This window comes from Homo sapiens, chromosome 15 (assembly GCF_000001405.40).
Source record: "Homo sapiens chromosome 15, GRCh38.p14 Primary Assembly".
Lineage (NCBI taxonomy): Eukaryota > Metazoa > Chordata > Mammalia > Primates > Hominidae > Homo > Homo sapiens.
This window is the reverse complement of record NC_000015.10, coordinates 79,503,122-79,524,015: the sequence shown is the minus strand read 5'-3', so window position 1 is coordinate 79,524,015 and position 20,894 is coordinate 79,503,122. Positions and strand designations below refer to the sequence as shown.

Sequence of the window (20,894 nt, the reverse complement as noted above, 5' to 3'; positions counted from 1 at the left end):
TGGCCTCCATTTGTGTTCTTGCTCTGGGATTCATCCAAGTTAGGGGGCTGGGCTGCTCCTGGCTCTTAAGGACAAACTGCCTCGTGTCATGACCCCTGCTCCTCATACACCCACATCCATATGATGGGAACCCACTCTCGTCTGCCATGATCGGGCAGAGCCATGGTGCTCTATGACAGTGCTTGGCCTGGCCAAGTGGACACTGGAGTTTGTGCTGGTCTGCCCACTCCATGGCCCAGCTTCTGTTGAGGTTCCAAACCTAGTTAGGGCTTCTAGAAGGCAGGGCATTTGTATCCCTCTTTGAGATGATCGGGCAGGTCAGTAGGTTAATTCGTGGCTATCACTTAGCTAAAGAGCACCAACATGCTCCCTCTCACCACATCTCAATCTCCTGGACTTCTTGTGCAGAGGTGACAAGGAAACATCATGACTCCCTGGTGTGAATAGAGCAGGGGAATCAGGAGCTTCCCTATGAAGCAGTTGCCAAGGCAGGAAGTGTCGTTCCTGCAACAGGCTCTGCCTCCCACATCTGCTTTTATGTGCTTGGTTACGCAGCTCACTCTGCAATCAGATATGGGGATCGAGATGAGTAAGACACCATCCTGGCTCTTAATGAATTCATAGTCTAGTGGGTGGCATATGTGTAAAATAATTACTGTCCACTGTAATAAGTGCTGTGATAAAGGTTTGTTCAAAATGCAGAGAAAACTTGGGGAAGGGGTGACATACTCAGGATAAAGTTTAAAAATGTAAATTTTACATGTAATAATGAATATTATTTACTATTCTCTTGGTTGCTAGAAATAGAAACCTTGAGCCAGCTTAAGGCAAAGGGTGACCCTATTACACTAAGAATTGAGTGGAATCATGCAAATGGAGGGAATCATACATCCCAGGCGAGGATGCAGTCAACCTTAATGGGCAGACTGGAGCGGCAGGAAGATCCGGCTGCTCTTTCTTACACCTCCTTCTCAGCAGAGCTGCTTCATGCTTTTCTCTCGCTGTAATCCGGCTTTCTTTGTCTTCCAGTTCACATGAAGGGAACTGACCACTGGTGATAGTTCCAGACACAGAGAGCAGCCAGGCTGATATTTAAATGTCTTAATTCAAACTTGAAATTCATTAGAAAGGACTTTGACTCAGTGTGAATCAGATACAGCCTGAGATATGTAGCCATATTGCATAATCATGGGTCCTATTGTATACACATGACTCCTCTTTTGGAAACATTAAAGATGGAGGGCTAGGTGCAGTGGCTCACTCCTGTAGAACCAGTGCTTTGGGAAGCTGAGGCAGGAGGATGGCTTGAAATCAGGAATTTGAGACCAGCCTGGACAACAAAGTGAGAGCTGTCTCTCCAAAACATTTTTTTTTTTTACTGGCTGGGTGTGGTGATATGAACCTGTAGTCCTAGCTGCTCTGGAGGCTAAGTCAGGAGGATCGCTTGAGCCCAGGAGTTCAAGGTTGCAGTGAGCTGTGATCATGCCCCTGTACTCTAGCCCTCTAGCCTGGGTGATAGCGACACCCTGTCTCTAAAAACAACTAAAAAGTTAAAAAAGTAAAAGATGGAGGAGAATAAAATCATGCCATCCTCAGTTGGAGGCCTGCTTCTGGAAAAACAATAGAAGGTGGGTGAATCAAGTAATAGATGTTCACTACCTTCCACACCTTGACCGACCAACTCAAGTGCATGCACGTGCATGTTCACATGTGTGCAGATACACACAGATCCTTTCCTCCCACACACCCAAAGAGGCCTCTGCTCGATTCTATTCACCAAGATCCTTTTCCCCAGTGGGAGAAAACCTAAGGTCACATCTGGCAATGAATTCCAATGTGACGACAGGGAGTCTCTTTTCCAAGTTCACAGTCTTTGGAGATTACCCATTCCTCCACTCTCTTTCTTTTAAAGGTGCTTTGGAAGAATAAGGAGATCAGAGGGAGCTCCCCAGAGTTCTCAGACTTCTTTGACTTGTGATCGCCATAAACCTCCAGTTTTCTGATCAGGACATGACATTTAGCTTTAACTTTCACTTCAGCTTTATAAAGAGGATTCAGTGGCAAATTTGACTCTTGCAGCTTGGTAAGGAATACAGTTATTTAACCCTCAGCTGACTCAGATTTCTGTTGACATCCATAAAAGGCCTTGTTCAACATAACTACATGCATCCTAGGCCTTGCTCAACGAAACTACATGCACCCTGTTCTATTCTCTCTCAATTTTTATGACAGCTATCTTGGACTGGAGCTTCTCTCTCTCATCATGTACTATAAGGGCTGTAAGAAGTAACTAACTGAAACATGCTAAAATCATGGATTATTACTAGTGAGTCAAATCCCAAGAGAAGATAAGCAACAGTTTTACTAATTATGTCACTGTGGCATGGCAAAGATTGCCAACTCTTCAGACAAGGACAGAAAGATGAGCAAATCCTTACTTCTCTCCTCTCCTCATCACAACTCATTTTCTCTGACATTCTTGTAATTGAAAATCTCCACTCCTAGCAGCAACTTCTTTATTTGGTAAGTTTCATTTGGTCAGCAGTAACAGAAATGGGCCATGGATAACTTAAAAATGACATTTACTAATATAAGCAACTGGATAATGACAGGGAGTCCAAGGAAGAACTCAGCAGCCATGCCCTGAGAAAGGCAGGGACCTGGAAAACCCAGGGCTCTTGGCTGAAGGCATTCATGAGTCTTCACCCTAATGGGCTCTAAAATGGCTCAGGCAATGGCATTCTGGTATTGTGTCTGTCAATTCAGGATTCAAATGCTCGGCAGAGATTATCCAGTGAAACAAGCGTTAGGCTTCCCTTCCAGAAACGTACGTAAGTACTAAAAAGACACTATCAAAAACTAAAACTCCAAAGATAAAACAGCTTTCCAAAATACTGCATGCCAAGGAGTCTAGTCTGAAGACTACACCTTTCCCAGTGGCTGTGTGTATAAATGTGTGCATGCATGTCAGGAGAAAGAGAATGGGTGGAAAATTAGCATGGAGGGGTAGCTAGGAGGTGTCAGGAGGGTTTATTGAGAAAAAATGGAAATGAAAGCTGACTTTGGAAATTAGAAAGTATCTCTTGGCAATGCTGAAAGGCTTTGTTGAGTTTGGAGGCCACACATCTGAAATGTTACTAATCTGCATGGTTATGCAATTTTCTCTAGCATTGCTCAGAAGCCAAGGTATCGGATTGGAGGAGGCAGGAAGTTGGGTGGATACAAGTTTGTGTTTTTCTCAGCAGGTATGACGGAGGAAAGAGGATGAGAATTGAATGCATTGTCAGGGAAACAGATCTCATGGCACACCATAGTGTCTAGAGGTCAGGGTGGGAAATGAGAAGAGAGGCTGAAAGTTGAGACAGTCAAGCGTCAAATGCCAGAGGTCCTGGTTAGACTAAAGGTGAGGTTTAGTGGGAGTAAGGGAATCTTATGTAAGGGGTAAAATATTTCAATAGGCCTAGACATGGACAAAAATAAGTAGACTTGTGTTTATTTCTAAAATAGCCCTGAATTTCTGTCTCTGACCCTCTAGCCACCCTCTGGCAGACATCTTCAGGCAGCCATTCTCAGAATATTCAGCCCACTCTTGAGATTGATCAGTGGGTTCAGGATAATTAACTCACTGGAGTCCAGTTCAAAATTCCATCTCAGGCTCTCTTCTCCTTTCCTCTGGTAGATCCCAGCACCTGGGAGGCTTGTTTGGTCAGAGCGGTGGTAGAAGTTGTGATGACTGCCTTCTGTATCAGTTTGGGCTGACATCTGTGACCTTTGCAGCTATGATGACCTTGCCCTTTGCGGTTTTCAGCTCCAGCCTGGCTCCTGGTTGGAGTGGACTGGTAGGAGATAGCGCAGCATCTTCCCTTGGCCTTGCCAGCTGTATGCATCTCCTTCAACACCTCCCAAATAGTGAGACTGTGTCTTGATTCTTTTATTCTAAAGGTAGGGGGCAATTTTAAGACACCAAAGACAGAGTTTTCAAGTGCTGTTTCTATCCCTTTACGCCCCACTCAAGACAATGGCAGAGCAGCATTCAGCAGCCACTGGCCCCATTTTCAGCCCTCTATTAAAGGTGGGATCTTTCCATGCATCTGAGCAGTCCTGGACCCCAGGACTTAGCGTCAGTCTCATGTACAGAGGGACAGAAACAATTGTGTAGATCCCCAGTTTGCAGCCCGATACTGCATTGTGACACAACTGAAGGACTGCTTAAAGCTGCAGCACAGGGCTGTGTTCTGGCCTCTTGTACTGTTCCCCTGGGGCAGAAACAGTAGCTCTTGCTGGTATTCAATCTCAATTCATTTATGTCACTAGAGGCAGGTTTAAGGATTAGGTACAATCCCAGCTTTATTATGTCACTCAAAACATGAAGGATAGATTAATCTCTATCATTAACAAAAACATTAACAGCAGGAAAGCATAATTTGAAGACAAAGAGAGACTTCTCATATTATTTTGACAAACATTTTATATACTCATCTCTTCTTGCAATATCTATAATTTACCTTTTGAGAAGGCACATGGAGCCCTTAGTGTAGCTCATATCCTAGTCTCAGCTCATTTATTCCATCCGTTTCCCCTGGAGAGAAAATGAATGCATGCAAAAGACTTAAGTCATCTTCATTTTCAGCAAGTTCCAAAGCAAGCAAGCATGTACTGTCAGGGTGATGAGGTACAGTTGTCTTTATGAACATCAGTGAGAATTTGGCCCACAAAGGAGATCACGACCTCTCAAAGTAGCACTGCAGCCCTTTCCTGGGGAGCTCCGGTTACTTAGCCAAGAGGCTCCAGGGCAGCACATGCATTCTTTTTCATTTTCTACCTCCACGGCTCTTCACTCAGGGCCCTGGGGAACTTTGGCATCATTTTACAATGTCTTCAACATCATGGAGAAATGAGAGGGGGTGGTGCTGGGTCACCCTTTCTACTTAGGCACACTGTACTCTTGTTTCTCAATGCCCCGACCATGTGGGACACTCCTGCAATCTTCTGTCTTCAGAAGAAATGAGAGAAGGGATACAAGTATGCTGTCTTCCTAAAGACCCACAGACTTTGAGGGAAATTCTCCCGGGTGCCCCCCACACTTCCTCTAGGAAGCACCTGGAAAAGTAGCATGTTTCCCCTGGCGCTCCCTATGCCGATCTTCAACCTTCCTTTCTCCCATCCCAACTTGATTGGATGGGGAGTGAGAAAGGGAGGAAAAAAGTGCGGTCCTCTCATTTGTGTGAATTTTTCAATTCCATACCCTTTAAAGTTAGTATTCTAGTGGACAACCTCAGTGCACAATCTACCCCTTTGCAAATACCCTGCAACAATTGTTCAGAGGATTGTTCTCAGGCTGTGGAACTGCTCCCTGCTTCTGAGCATCCTCAACCCTAAGACTCTAGCTGATGTGTAATGGGTATGGGAGTTTGGAAGCTCAGCTCTCTTACTTTAGTTAGGAGCAAACTCTGAGCCACAATTTACTCTCCAGAATTTACCTTTGGGATCAGGTTGAGGCTACCCTTTTGATACATGCAATTGCAATTCTGCTTGGCTAGGAAGCACATTCCCTGTTCTGCTTTCTCTATCCCCTTATCAGTTTCTTCTGGGAGTAGGGCAACCAACTCATCCCAGTTTGAGTATGATGGTCCCAGTTTTAAAACTGAAAGTTCTAAATCACTGTAACTACCTTCCTGTATCTCTGTCCCAGGTATACCGGAATTGTTAGTTACCCTGCCTGGGAGCACTTTCTTAATAAACTACTTGTGCACAAATCTTTGTCTCAGTGTATGTTTCTAAAGAAGCCAACCTATGGCAGTGATTTAGAGTCCGAGTCTTTGCTCCCAATGGCAAGTGTGTTCTCAGCAATCAAAGTTCTTTCAGTCCAGCTCTCAGATGGGAGAAGGGCCACCATGAGGCCTGAAGAGAGAAAGAACCCACTCAGTGCTTTCTCTGAAGAACTCATACATGAAAATACCTCGACACAGGAATACTCAGAGATGGAGTGCCCCCAGGGATGGCAGAATCAAGGGCATTTCCATTGGAGTGGGTAGGTAAAGTGAAGGTGAAAGTCACTGGAGTTGAAGACAGTAAGGATGATAAGAACTGAGACCCCCCCCCCAAAAAAAAAACCATCAGGATGCCAAATTTTGCCCTTTTTTTCAATAAAGGTGGACATTTCAATAGGAGACTGGTAGTTGACAAGAAGAGGGTCTAAGGTAACATCCAACCCAGAGAAAGCATTCAATAAATATTTGTTGAATGAATGAATGGCATTGTAGAGGGAGATTGTGAGGTCAAGAAAGTCCTAATGAATAAAAAGCTGCATGGAAAGATAGCAGATTTGTCCATTACTTGAATCTACATATTGTCGTGACATATTGTCTTATTTACCTGTCATCCTGAGAATAGGTGTAGTTGAGGAGTGATCTATTGTTTAAATGAATAATTTTGTTAGCAATTTCTTAGACACAATAAAAGTGTTTGCAACTTTACCTTCTTGGGTAAGAAATTTCTGAAATGATAAAGTCATGTTAATGTAAATAATGTCAGTTCTGGGTCATATTAATTTTGTGGTTGCACTCAGGTTGTTCTCAAACTTTGCTCCCACTCTCATTCAATATACGGGTGCTTGTAAGACCAGATGCTTTGGCTAGCCATGCAGCCTCACTGCATTGATAGCCTTGAAACATTCTACCTGAGTTAGATAGTTCTGTCAAATGAACTTGTCCCCAAGAGAACAACAGGTGGAGGGAATAAGCAAGAACTGTATTTACTTATCTAAATAGAAATCTTGGAATTTGAAGGCTTGACCTGGGCAACCAGACCATTAGAAATAGGCCAGATTCTTCAGTGAACTGATGAGTGAATCTTGATCATAATGAGCTCACTAAGGGAATATGAAGACCTCAGGGGACTAGAAACAGAGATTACAAACTCTCATAATAAAGATTTTCTAACTCTGCAATCTGGATGTGGATGATCATTGCATTACATGGGCAAGAAATAGGATAGATTTGAGGGAACCAGAAGGTGAGGTCTGGCGTGGGATGTCACCTGCTGCAATGGCTTGAAGGATGCTGTGTGGCAATAAAATGTCTGAAGATTTTGCTGGCTGGTGGGCTGTCTCTTAAGTTACCTCACTCCAGGACCTTATTACAGGAGGAGTGGATTCTGATTAGTACGGCCTGACCTTCCCTTTCTGCCCTGTAGGGTGGGGAACAAGGAAGTGGGGGAGGTACCATCCACTTGAGAAGATTCCCCTTGGAAAGAGTCAGGTTTCTCAGATAGGAGAAGGGGGCTCACCTTCGAATCATTTAAAAAGGCCATAGAATTCTAAAGGGCACAAGGAAAGCAGTGGGAAACCAGATGAGGGAGAGGCAGCCCAGAGCAATAAGAGGATGAGACTATGGGGGGACAGACCAGTGGGGGAAATACATTAAGGAAGTGATTAAAGATGAGAGACATAGTGAGGAGGCTGGAAAGATAAACTGGGCTACAGAATTTCCAAAGAATCAGTCCCAGTAATTCCCTGGTGTGTGGGATGGAGGAGGAGTGGCCACAAACGTAGTAGAAGGTGGGGCACTCACAGCTCTTCAGGAGATGGAAACCATGGCTGAAATTAAGCCTGTTTCTAAAGAAATCAAATGCCTAAAATAGCTGCAGCTCCAGGTGGGCATCGCCCCAGGCCTCACTGGAAGGAGTCAGCTGCAGCCACGACTGCCTTGCTTACTATAGCCCTGTTGATGGTGCAGCCATGATCACTCCCCTGGATTCTGGCATATGGTTGGTTATTATCCATAATGTCCCTGCTGTTGTGAATTTTCTCCTTTTCATCTTTTTTTTATGAGTAATTTAATGGGAAGTTGTTGGGGGGTGCATCAGGCTGAATTTGAATATGTGTAATTTTAAGGAATATTCCCTTGAGGTGGGAGTTGTGTTGGAAAAAGCAAGAGCTTTCAATATCTCACAGCAGCCCAGTGAATCAGGAGGCATTGCTTCTGGTTTATAGAATTGGAAACTGAGTCGGATGGAGGAAAACACTGGCAGTGGGAATCAAAGTCTGACCAGATGGTGGCACAGAAAGGGCAAATGATTTATTTTTTCAAGGTTGCACCACTAGCAAGAGAGAGAATTGATACTAGAACTGAAGTTTACTATTAATAATTTGCTCACATCCTGTGTCTATATAACCAGGCCAGCTTCACGGGCATTGACCTGTGCAGCAACACAGTTTCCTGCGCACAAAAGGGCCCAACATTTGGTTTAATGATCGTCTGCTGCCATCTTGAAATTCATAATAATTTTTTGGCCAGGGGTCCCAAATTTTCATTTTGCCTGAGGCCCTGCAAATTACGTAGCCAGTCCTATATATACTAGCTGTGTACAAGAAAATGTTTAACTTTAATATTTTATTGATCACTTCTACATGTCTGTATGTACACTCTTATGTAGACACATTTCACAATAGTGTAGATGTGATTACTTTGGGAGATTTCGTTTCTAAGGTCTCCCAAGACCCAGAATGAGCAGAGAAATTCCTTCTGGCAGCTCACAAAGGCTCTGTTGCCATCCAGATGAGTCCTATGGGTTAGTCTAACACAATATTTATATTGAACAAGCAAATAGACTAATTTAAAACGTGTTTTTGCATAAATATTGAGGAACTGTACAATAAAGAATTCACCTCAATTAATCATTGCTTGCTTTCTTCTGTTTCCTTTCCACTCCATGTCCAGATACATAAGCAAATTTTTCATACTTTTAATCAGAACATAGGAACAATGTTATATACTCTTCTAGATTTATTTAGTTTTTTCTTCCCCTGGATCCCTCAGACAGGCCTTCTCCCACACTGCAATATTGCTTTCTTAGTTTTTAATTTTAATAACACCATCGTCTCCCACTGAGATGATCTTACATAATTAATTTTAAAATTATCCTCCTGTGAACATATATTTTCATTTATTACTTTAACAAACTGTAGAGCACTGACTCTATGCCATGCCTTATGGAGACTGTGTTAGGGACACAAAGATAAAATGTGACCCTGATTCTCACAATTCTTTAGGACAAATTAGAGCTCAGTGAGTATCTTGATTTCTACATTCAGTTTAACTCCTAAGGAGAAATTCCTTGAAAAGAGATTGCTGGATAAAGAAAAAAAAAAGAAGGAGGAGAAGAAGGAGAAGAAAAAAGAAAAGAAAAGAAAAAAGCCAAGCACTTTTAAGGCATACTGTCAAATTGCTTTCCAATTCATAGTCCCTCTAGCAATGCGCAAATGTACCTGCTTCACTGAAACCTTGCCAACATTTATCATTTTAAAACCTCCCACTAATTTAATAGGCATAAAATGATACAGAATTGTTTTAATTAGCATGCAGTTCTTTTGAAGCCTCACCCCCAAATCTCAATAATTGCTTATTTTACCCCTGACACTTCACTTTATCTACATAGAGCTCTGACAACCCCAACCCCCTTTTTTTTTCTTCCCATAATGGAATCAGGAGACATATATTTGTTTTATTTCATAGAAAATATAGTGTGGCCTAGTAAACTTCTTACAACACGTAAAACTATTCCCTTAAAGGGGAATTCTTTTGCTTCCCTAAAAATTCTATCTGTCTAAGGCATTAGTTTCTTCTTATCCTATCCTGAAGCAGGCAGGATCATTCTGAACAGAATCTGCTTTAACAAGCATCTTCAAACATTGAAGTTACTGCAATGTGCACTTTGTGACAAGTCCCCACTGCATATTTATAATTGAGGCCAAATGCAAGCAACACTCTGTTCAATTTCTTCCTGTTGAATCACAAATTCCCCCAACAGACACACGGTGCTACTCCACTTTCCGTAGAACGGAGCCCCGCCCACTACTCAGGCACGTGACAGAGCTGAGCCAATCATATCCTCACTCCTTGAACAGATGGGCCAATGGGTGGCATGGGGTTCAAGGTGGGCCAATTGCAGTCTTTCCCTGAGATTGTTCACACTTTACCTGGCAGAATAGAAGCTGCTTTTCTTCTGTAGCTCTGTTAAGATGTGAATATGGAACTTCCAGCTGGTAGGCTCTTGCCCCTTTCCCTGCTCTCCAGCCCACCAGTGGGCAGGAGAGAACGCCAGGCTTGGAGTGGAGCACAAAGTGTGGGGCGAATGGGTCCTGGCAGCACTCCACTGCCAGGTGCAGTGATTTCCAAGGGCGGCTCCCACACACCCTTCCCACACCGTTCCCACATCCTTCCTACATTACAACCACATGAATTTTTTTTAAAAATAAAAGAATTCTGTGTTTGTTTCCTTTGCTTATTCTAGTTAGTTTTCTTCACCTGCAAGTAAGAGTTGATATTTATTCTGAGTCGCGCGGACTTCCCCTACATCGTGTGGTGTTAGTTGCTCTCAGACAGTGTGAATAAATTTCCATAATTATAAAAATTCAAATTGAACGGTTTGGTGTGTAAAGTTATTCATTCAACACATGTTATGTGCCTGCTATAAACAATTCTAAGCACAAGTGCTGGAGAAGGAAACCCCCATCCAGGCCATCGACCAGCTAAATGATTTTTTCTATTCATAAAATGTCAAAGTGGACGTGAATAATTTCATTTCATCCCCTTAGCCTTTCATTTTACCAATAAAGTGAATCTAGCATAATCAGTTAGCAAGGATCTAGGACTAGAACAGCGAGCCCCTTCTGTAGCATTACACTGAAATCAGGCCCTGGAAAATGGAGATGCTAACTGTTAGATGTAAACACCTGGGCCAGCAGCCTGGGAGAAAGATAGATGGGAAATAACTTTATTATCTGTGTAGTTCTTGTATCAGGAACAAGCATTTGGTGCTGGGGATATATTCTTAGCAGAGGCATTGGGTTTCACATAAATAGTACATCTCTTTGTCAAAGGCCTCGTTTTCCTATTCTCTGGAGTCATCTGCTACTGTTTCTACACTCCCGCCTTCACACATTATTCAGAAGTGTAAATAACAGCTGCCAGGTTGGAATAGCTTCTTTCTTCCTCCAAGGCAGTGTGAGGTGGGGGCTTTGCCCACTCACTCTCCAGCCTCCCTTCACAGTTACAGCCAGAGCATGGGGCTGCATCCCCCTGGACAAGCTGGTCCTTTTTATGCTGGAGAGGTAGCATGCATGAGGTGTATGAGCCACCGCACCAGGGCTAAGGTTTGCATATAGCAAAGAAGGAAGGCAGGAAAAGTATTCTTGGAAAGCAAAGCCCCTTAAACCCAGTAATCATTCCCTTCTCTAGGACTGGGCTCCTTCTCTGTTTTTTGAGAAGTCAGGCTCTTCCAGAAGGGCCTTGGGACACTGGGGCAGAGGGTGGCTGACCAGAGGGTGCTCAGACATTATGCCAATTGGATCATTTGTCTCAGTGTGAGGTGGGGGCTTTGCCCACTCACTCTCCAGCCTCCCTTCACAGTTACAGCCAGAGCATGGGGCTGCATCCCCCTGGACAAGCTGGTCCTTTTTATGCTGGAGAGGTAGCATGCATGAGGTGTATGAGCCACCGCACCAGGGCTAAGGTTTGCATATAGCAAAGAAGGAAGGCAGGAAAAGTATTCTTGGAAAGCAAAGCCCCTTAAACCCAGTAATCATTCCCTTCTCTAGGACTGGGCTCCTTCTCTGTTTTTTGAGAAGTCAGGCTCTTCCAGAAGGGCCTTGGGACACTGGGGCAGAGGGTGGCTGACCAGAGGGTGCTCAGACATTATGCCAGTTGGATCATTTGTCTCAGTCCTGATTTATTTCCAGGCCTATTCACTGGAGGAAGGTGTTGGCATCAGAATAAAAGAGGGAGTGTGTGGGCTCCAGGCTCAGGAACCCAGATAACTCAGGCCAACTCAGAGGACTTTGTGAAAATGCTAGGACCTTTGTTTTTCTCCACAAGGTACTCATTGACTGTGCCTTGTTGTTCCTCAATGAAATGTTTGAAATGAGCGGGGCCTAGGGACTGTTTTGGAGGATGGCGGAGAAGAAAGTTTCAGGGAGACCACAATCAACCCAAGAGAGGATCCAACAACAGGGGAATCGTTAAGTAACCAACACCTTATCAACCTATGGCAATAAGGAAAATGCTGGACAGTGCTAAGAAGAAAGGCATGCTGTAATTTGATTGGGATGATATAGAAAGGAATGATAATAAATGGTTAACTTTGAGTAGGAAGATTCTAGTCTATTCATTTCTGTTTGTTTTGTTCTATTTTCTGAACCATCCCTCTTTCTGTTTGCCAGCCTCGACGAGGGGCTTTGCACTAGTTCTTGCTTTCCCAAATGTTCTGTCCCCAGCGGTGGCTGGCTTCTCTCATCCTCAAAAGACACCTGCTCAGAGAGCCTTCCCTGAGCACCAATTGACAATATGTCCCCTGCAGTAACTACAGACACTTCCAGTTTAAAACCAAACAAATAAAAGTCAGAAAAATTGGACTAAAATTAATTTTAAAATAGATGTTTAGGAGGAGATATCCTCACTTTCAGCTGGGATAGCCAGCATATACAAGCATATATCAGCATAAGAATGCAGCTTAAGTAGCAGCATGTCTACTCTGGTTTTTTTTTTTTTTACAAGCAGTGGTAATTGTTAGACCAGGGTGACACAGGGAGAGTAGATGTTATTCTTAGGGATGATTGAAATAAAGTACTGTGATTCTATAACTTAATGTGTGTATTATTACCCAGATGATTTATTTGTTCTCATAATTTCACAACCTGCCACTGGTCTGGACTAACTTATTTACCTATACAGTAATGTGAAATAGGAAACGGATCTTGCCTTCCAGATGGATAAAGCCAAGGTGGTTAGAAATGATGAGTTGTTAATGGTCTGAGGTCCATTCACTCAGTAAATAATTATTGAATGTTTATTCTTGAGTAAACACTATTGATCAGAATGAGAAAATGTTGTACTGGAGAAAAGGAAAGAATCGAGGTTAGTCAATAGCACTGACATTGGTTAAGGTATTAGCGTAAGGAAATAATGTAGAAATGTATGGGATCCTGGAGAGGACACCAACAGAACTGAAGGAAGCTTTCACTCTCTGGACCGTAAGAGTAGGAGTCAACACTGGATGTTTGATCAAGTCAAGTTTAGACTTTGGTAAAGGCTGAAATAGGCATATGTTACTCCTAGTTATTACCTGGCAATGGAGCTCTCTCCTCATGCTTATAGGAAGAACACATGGAAATTAAGTGTAATAAATGGTGCGATAGTAGGTGGCCTATTTAATTTCACCTCAGGGGGGATAATACAGATGAGGAATTTGGGGTACCCGAATAAATCAAGAGCTTCCCCTCCACGTTGCCTTTCCTGTTCTAGTTGTTGCCATCACTGTGTGGAGAGAAAGTTGAATGGAGGGACGGTGGAGTCATTCTAGTGGATAAACATAGTAGCCTGCTGTTTGGATTGCTTTCTCCTTCACTTGCCATTCCCCACAAGGTTTGATTCTTCCCAGAGAATGAGAAAGGGAGTTCAACAGGAAGTCAACAGTTACCATATTCCTAGGGACAGCGATGGGTGCTGGGGAGTTGGTGAATGCAGTCCCTACCTCCAGGGAGCTTACAGTCAAGCAGGAGAGACAGATGAGAAAACAGTCCATTTCAGCAGCGTGAGAAGTGGTTCATGAGAGTGGAAGGGGGGTAATGAGGGATCTCACATGAGTGGCCCATATTGAGCTTTCAGGTGGTGAGGAGAGCTTCTTAATTTTAGCTAGGGGTCATTTTAGCTAGGTCCCGAAGGACAGGTGTGATCTGGTGGGTAGAGGAAAAGAGGATAGTCCAGCGAAAATGATCCACATATGCCAAGGTCCCAAATGAAGAGAAGAGATGTGTGTTTAGGGAACTGGATAGGGGTCAAGTGGTTGGAGCATGATGGGCAAGGAGAGGTATGAGATGACCCAGGATAAGTGGGCAAGGGCCAGACATTGAAGGGATCCCAGCTACATAATTGATGGCAAGGAGTCGGTAGAGAGGCAGAGGCTAAGATTATGAAAGACAGTGGTATTCAGGAGGGGCAGATCCAGAGGATAGGACCTGGAGCAGATGTGCAGGGTTGGACCCACTCAGGGGAGAGAAAGTTCTTCATTGTGACAAGGATGGGCATGGAGGCAGTTGACCTGGAAAGTGGTAGTGCCACGAAGGCTGATGGCACACCTGGCTGGTGACTCCTTCCTCTCAAGTCAGGGGTGATGCATCCTGCTGAAAGTGAAGTTGGAGGAAGACAGGAGGGTCTGAGAGAAACTCAGGGGTGGGTATGGAATTGGAATCAGAGCTCTTAAGGAAGACAAATAAGGATTCCTGGGCAATTTTGAGTCTCAGTTGAGGCTTATGACTACATACTTGCAGGGGCACAATTCCATGTGATTATACAATGTTCTCAAGGAGTAAAGGACAGCAGGGATCCGGGGAACAGATTCAGGGTTGGTGTTTTGATGGCACATGTGACAGAAAGCCAGGGAATGCCAGGTAAAGAAGACATCTTGAACACACACATTTACTTTTGCTCATTTGTGTGTGTGTGTCGGGGTGGGGGGAGTTTAAAAGGACTTTTTAAAAAGCCCAAACCCGCATGCACAAAAGACATCAGTGACAAAATCCTGAGAGCTGAAAAGCCAATGTAAAGGGGCTAACTGACTTAGCCTTTGATTGCTCCAGCAGAAGACTGGAGGTTCATTTTCTGAAGAGAGTAAAAGGAAGGCATTTGGACTGTGGTGAGACTAGCAGAGCTGAGAGTGAGAGGACCAGACTGGAAGTAGCAAGATCAAGTAAGGCAGAAACTCTCAGACTTCAATTCCTGGGCTCACAAATGCTAGCAGCCTGGCCTTTAGCCTCTAGCTGGGAGTTAGAAGACCAGCTGGGAGGAACGGCATAAAGGTGCTGGCAATGGGGCTGTCCAGTGGAGTAAACCAGCTGGACTGTTATAAGGTGAAACTCATCCCAGCAAAGTGCTTAGAGCATCGGTCAGCTTATTGCCCCCACTTTTAAATATGAACAGGCAACCATGAGATACCAGATATATGAGGAAACATGCCAACATAAAATATAGGGACTAAAAGAAACACAGCAGAGGAAGAATGCAAGGAAACTGAAGGAGACAAGATCTGCAAGAGAAAAAAAAACTAACATTATCTAGCATTAAGATCTTCAGAGAAGAAGGGAAGATATTGCAGCCATGAAGTGAGAATAGGAGAGAGGAGGATGCCAAGAGGTAGGAAGGCCTGGTATTCAGGGGCTTGTACTATACGAGAGAAACGAAGGGATTCCTAGGATGCTGGTGAGGTGTGATCCCAGGGCAATAGCTATGCCCCAGGTGAGGAGGACAATCAGCCCAGAGTCCAGATTATCACAGAGATTTTTTTTTCCAAGGAGTTTCAATGGATAGACCTGAAGTATCTAAATGTATTGAAATTTTGAAACATTTAGAATTGCTTTAGTGAGGAATACAGAAAAACAAAGTTAGGGAGAAAAGTTAAGGATGAATTTCAAGCATATTTTGCAGGAAAGACTCAGTCTGAATAGCACTTACATTCTCATAATTATGTAAACACTAAATGTTGAACTAAGCTAAATTACCATAAAACTAAATTAGAGAGTGGAGAGCCAGAAGGAACACTTGCATGGGGCGGGAGATTAGGAGAGAGAATGAAAATGAAAGAGAGTTAAATTCTCATTTTCCGTAGTGGGATGTCCATAGACAAGCCTAAGATGAAAAAATTGAGAGCAAATAAGTGTATTCTATAAAGACACAGGGATAAGTACCGAAAGAATGAGCTAACAGAATGAAAACTGGTTGCTTATCTGAGGAGTGGGGAATTGTGCGGTAAGTGGGCAGAAGACTGCTATTTTCATTACTAGTCAAATAACAATCTGGTTCTTTCAATCTATGTGCATCTTACTAAAGGGAAAAACACAAAAAGACAAGGAAGTGTGGGTATCGGGAAGAGGGATGTCAGAGTGACAGATCATGGAGCCTAGGCAGAATAAAAAAATGAAGAAAGAAGATTGATGGTAAGGAGAAGGGAAGTAGTTCAGAATGAAGAAAAATGGGATTAGGAGAGAGGGCTTGTGAGTGGTTGTCAGACGCAGCCTGGAGGAAAGTCTCAAAGACTTCCTATTTTGCCTAAGTCTATGTTCTTTTTATATTACCATTCTAGGTGATTCCATTACCTTAGAAAGTTTTCCAAACAGTGAAATTTAGGGTTATGATGTTAGTAACCAACCTTAGTAGACCAATCAAATGAATGCTGTCAGAGAGTTGGTCTTCTTGATGAGAAAGTCCAGAAAGACCTCTTCTGATGATGTAAAGACTCTTGGAAGTTTGGTCCTCTATGGTGACGTTGTAAGCTATCAACTTGGTGAGGCTACACTACATTTCCTAGAGTTGGCTTTCTTACATATTACTAGCTGTGGCGGTCACAATGGAGATTCTTGAGAGACTTGGAGGGCACAAAGGAAGCAGCAAGCACTTTGTTATCTGCACACTTGTTGATGAGCTGCAGATTCATGCACAGGTGTGATGTGGCAGCTAGGTGTGCAATTGCTCTGCCTTCCCCTGGACCCTCTTTCAGCTTCTCCAGCTCCTGGGCTAGGTGTGAGTATCTCCATGACCATGGGCCCCAGTTTCTGCAGTAACCCATACCCTCGAGGTAAGAGACCATTCTAGTTTGTCCTGGTGGGTTCCAGCTAATGTTCGTGGACTCCGGCCTCCTCATACCTTCCCTTTCTGACTGCTTACCCTGTGAGCTTCTCACTTGGGCATCAGATGTGGAAAAAACAACCTTAGAGACACTACTTAACTAGCTCCCTGTTATGGACTTCACATATTGAAGCCCTAACCCCCAATGTGGCTATATTTGGAGATAGGGCCTTTAAGAAAGTAAGTAAGGTTATAAGTATGGAGCCCTAGTCTGATAGATTTCCAGTACTTATAAGAAAAGACACCAGAGATTGATTTTCTCTCTCTCTCTCTTTCTCTCTTTCTCTCTCTCTCTCTCTCTCCATGCACACACAGAGGAAAGGCCACGTGAGGACACAGCAATAAGGCAGCCATTTACAAGCCACATGAAGGCCCTCACCAAAACCCAAATTTGCCAGCACCTTGATCAAGGATTTCCAGCCTCCAGAACTGTGAGAAATAAATGTCTGTTATTTAAACCATTCAGTCTGTGGTATTTTGTGATGGCAGCCCAAGCTAATTAATACACTCCCCAGTCATGTAAGCCAATACCCTTTAGCAAATCTATCTATCTATCTATCTATCTATCTATCTATCTATCTATCTATCTATCTAATCTATTACATGCTTTTATTTATTTATTTATTTATTTATTTATTTTTTTTGAGACGGAGTCTCACTCAGTTGCCAGGCTGGAATGTAGTGGTGTGATCTCCATTCACTGCAACCTCTGCCTCCCTAATTCAAGCGATTCTCCTGCCTCAGCCTTCAGAGTAGCTGGGACTACAGGTGCGTGCCACCACGCCCAGCTAATTTTTGTATTTTTGGTAGAGATGGGGTTTCACTATGTTGGCCAGGATGGTCTCAATCTCTTGACATCATGATCCACCCACCGTAGCCTCCCAATGTGCTGGGATTACAGGCTTGAGCCACTGTGCCAGGCCTGAATGATATACTTATATCCTAGTGATTCTGTTACTCTGAACTCTTACTGATACCACCTTCCTGGTGGAAGAATGACCTCCAAAGATATCCAGTTCCTAATCTCTGAGCCTGTGAATGTTAAGGGATTCATAAGATGTGATTAAATTAAGGATTGTGAGCTGTGGAGATTATCCTGGATTAGCTGGTGGGCCCTAAATGTAATCACAAGTGTTCTTACAAGAATGAGGCCGAGGGAGATTTGTCGACCTAGAAGAAGGTGATGTGACCGCTGAAGCCAGAGCCTGTGCTGCTGGCTTTGCAGATGCAGGAAGTGGACAGTAGCGAAGAAATGCAAGGAATGCAGCCCTAGAACCTGGAAGAGAGAAGGGAGCTGGTTCTCCCCTAGAGCCTCCAGAAGGAGGGCATCTTGATTTCAGCTTAATGTAACTGGTTTTGGACTTCTAATCTCCAGAACTGTAAGAGAATAAATGTGTTTCGTTTTAAGCCATCAAGTCTGTGATAATTTGTTACAGCAGACTAATAGAGACAGTAATATATTACAACTCATAATAAGTTATAAAAAAATAAGGAATCCATGAGTTCATTCTAATAGTAGATAAGTAGATAGACAGATGATAGATACATAATAACGGAATGAAAGAATACATGAATGTCAGGTAGGGGAGAGGGAGGGCTCTTCCTTACAGTAAAAGTTGACTAATAAATGTGGAAGAAATGGTGGAAAATCATCATTTTGTAACCAATCCTTAGGCAAGAATCATCAATGAATGCTAAATTTAGGGGGTAATTGTGAGGATCAAGAGAAATCATAACTGCTGTTCAGTTACACCTTTATCAAGTGGTCAGAATTAGTATCACCAACAAGAGCAGATGGACATTGTGGACCTCCAGATGTGACATCCTGAGTAAAACAAATGATCACTTTTGTAGTACCATCTGGGGGTAAAAGACCTGTATCTAATTATGAGAAAACATCAGACAAAACCAGCTAAAGGAATATATTATAAAATAACTGACTTCAGCTTTTCAAAAATGTCAATGGCATGCAATACAACAGAAGGTTATAGAACTGAGATTACAGGAGACTAAAGATAAGTGATAAGTAAATGCAATATATAATTCTGTCCTGGATCCTGCACTGGAGAAGAAGAGTGCTATTATTAGGGATATAAAACATTAAGAATATTATTGGGACAAAGAAATAATTGGAATATGGATGATAGGTGAAATTATAACATCAATGTTAAATATCCTGAATTGAATATCAGTGTTGTGGTTACATAAAAGAATAACCCTATTCTTAGGAAATTCCAAAATTGTAAGGGGAAAGGAGGTATGCCTTCAACCTGTGAGAAAACATTTTCAACAAATACTGGGGGAAAGGTTACTATTCTCAAAAATCAATGAGAAAAAGCAACCTTATAGAAAAATGATTATATAATATGTTTGACAAATAACAGAAAAATATACATGATATATACTCAACTCTCTTGTAAGTAAAGAAATACAAATCAAAACAATGAGATGCCATCTGTTACCCAGAGAGTGGCAAAACTGAAAGAGTTTGGAAATATAAAGTGTTAGCACTGAAATGGAAAGTGGTGGGACTATAAGATCATGTAGCTTCTTTTAGAGAACAACTCACTATGGCCCACATGCAAAAAGAGGCAAGTACAGAAATGTTCTTTGCAGTCATGTTTACAGTTAGAAACTAGAAGCAACATGAACATATGTAGGAATATGGCTAGAAACTCAAGTCCTTCCATTAAGTTAAAAAAAAACTTGTAAAATGATATTACATATGCAATTAAAAAGTTAATAACAGGCCAGGTGCAGTGGCTCATGCCTGTAATCCCAGCACTTCGGGAGGCCAAGGCAGGTGGATCAGGAGGTCAGGAGTTCAAGACCAGCCTGGCCAACATAGTGAAACCCTGTCTCTACTAAAAATAGAAAAATTATCCAAGCGTGGTGGTGGGCACCTATAGTCCCAGCTACTTGAGAGGCTGAGGGAGGAGAATCGCTTGAACCTGGGAGGTGGATGTTGCAGTGAGCCGAGGTCATGCCACTGCACTCCAGCTTGGGCAACAGAGTGAGACTTAGTCTCAAAAAAAAAAAAACAGTCAATAACAATAAATATACTATCAAACAACACAGTATGATTTTATGGCTCTATATATCTGTATCTAAAATTATACAAGAGCAAGGAAGATGACATTAAAGGATATGCATCAAGTAAGAACTCAGGGTGGGATTGTTCAGAGGTGACTTCAGCTTTATCTCTAGTGTTTTTTTTTTTTTGGTAAAGGGAAATTTATTCGTATATTGCTTGCATAATTAAGGATTACATGTGTAATTAAGGATTTCATATATAATTAAACATTAATTTAAAAATGTGGGCAGGAGTCTTTACCTTCCCAAGACCATTTATAAATCAATTTTCTTTTCTGTCTTCTAATAAATCAGCTACTGTAAGCATCGTGAATGAGGGCCACACACTGCATAATGGTTCCCTCTGCCACTCTGGCTTCTATTTTTACTCTTCCTTGGAACCTCCGGGCATTTGATTTCAATCTGTAATGTCGAGATTTGGAAATTAAATTTAGGTGAGTTCAAAAGAAGAGTGTCTCTAAATGTAAGCAGCTTGGGTATTTACCTTTTCCCTGTTCAAACGTATGCACAAGAACCTCTCTTCTGTCTTCACGTCTGTGAGAAAATTAGTGAGAAACAACATCAGGGAATCACTGGTGGAGTCTGCATAATTATATATGTCGGCAGCTCTGTTCTTGGGGGATATTGTGAAATTAGGATATTTCTCTTCCCAAGCCTGATGACTAGAAAATTTGAATCTCACATACAACCACCAAGTCTCTTTAAGAATGTATGTGATGCCCTGTATAATTCTTAATGGACTTAGAATATGCCTAAAAATTCTATTATAGCACTGTGGAGTATGAAAATTTAAAGAGAGCATACTCATTCTCAAGTTCAGTCACTTTGAAGAGTTTGTTGTTGATGTTGTTTTTAATGGAGAAAATGAGGTCCACAGAATGGAAGTGAATTCTCAACATCACAGAACCATTGGGCATGGTTGTGGGCAGATTCCAAGCCTTGATCACCCCCAACAACACAACCATTGTATTCATGTGATATTATATTTGTGCAAATGTAAATTAGATGCTGGAGTGAATGGAGAAGAGGAAACTTCCCATCTTCTGTTACACCTGCCTGCACAAGTCCTAACAGAATGATACGGCCCAGTACAATGTGCATTTCTCCCATGGACGTTGCCTGCTT

At 42.6% G+C, this 20,894-nt stretch overlaps 1 long non-coding RNA gene across 1 annotated transcript; it reads right to left on the bottom strand.

Moving 5' to 3' along the window:
- Positions 1-3,477: 3,477 nt before the first annotated feature.
- LOC105370919 (uncharacterized) lies at positions 3,478-20,305 on the bottom strand. Its single transcript, XR_001751629.2, has 4 exons — positions 20,254-20,305; positions 20,011-20,171; positions 4,506-4,579; positions 3,478-3,936 (listed from the first exon to the last, which is right to left on the bottom strand). It is a non-coding gene; the product is annotated as an uncharacterized LOC105370919 (long non-coding RNA).
- Positions 20,306-20,894: the final 589 nt, after the last annotated feature.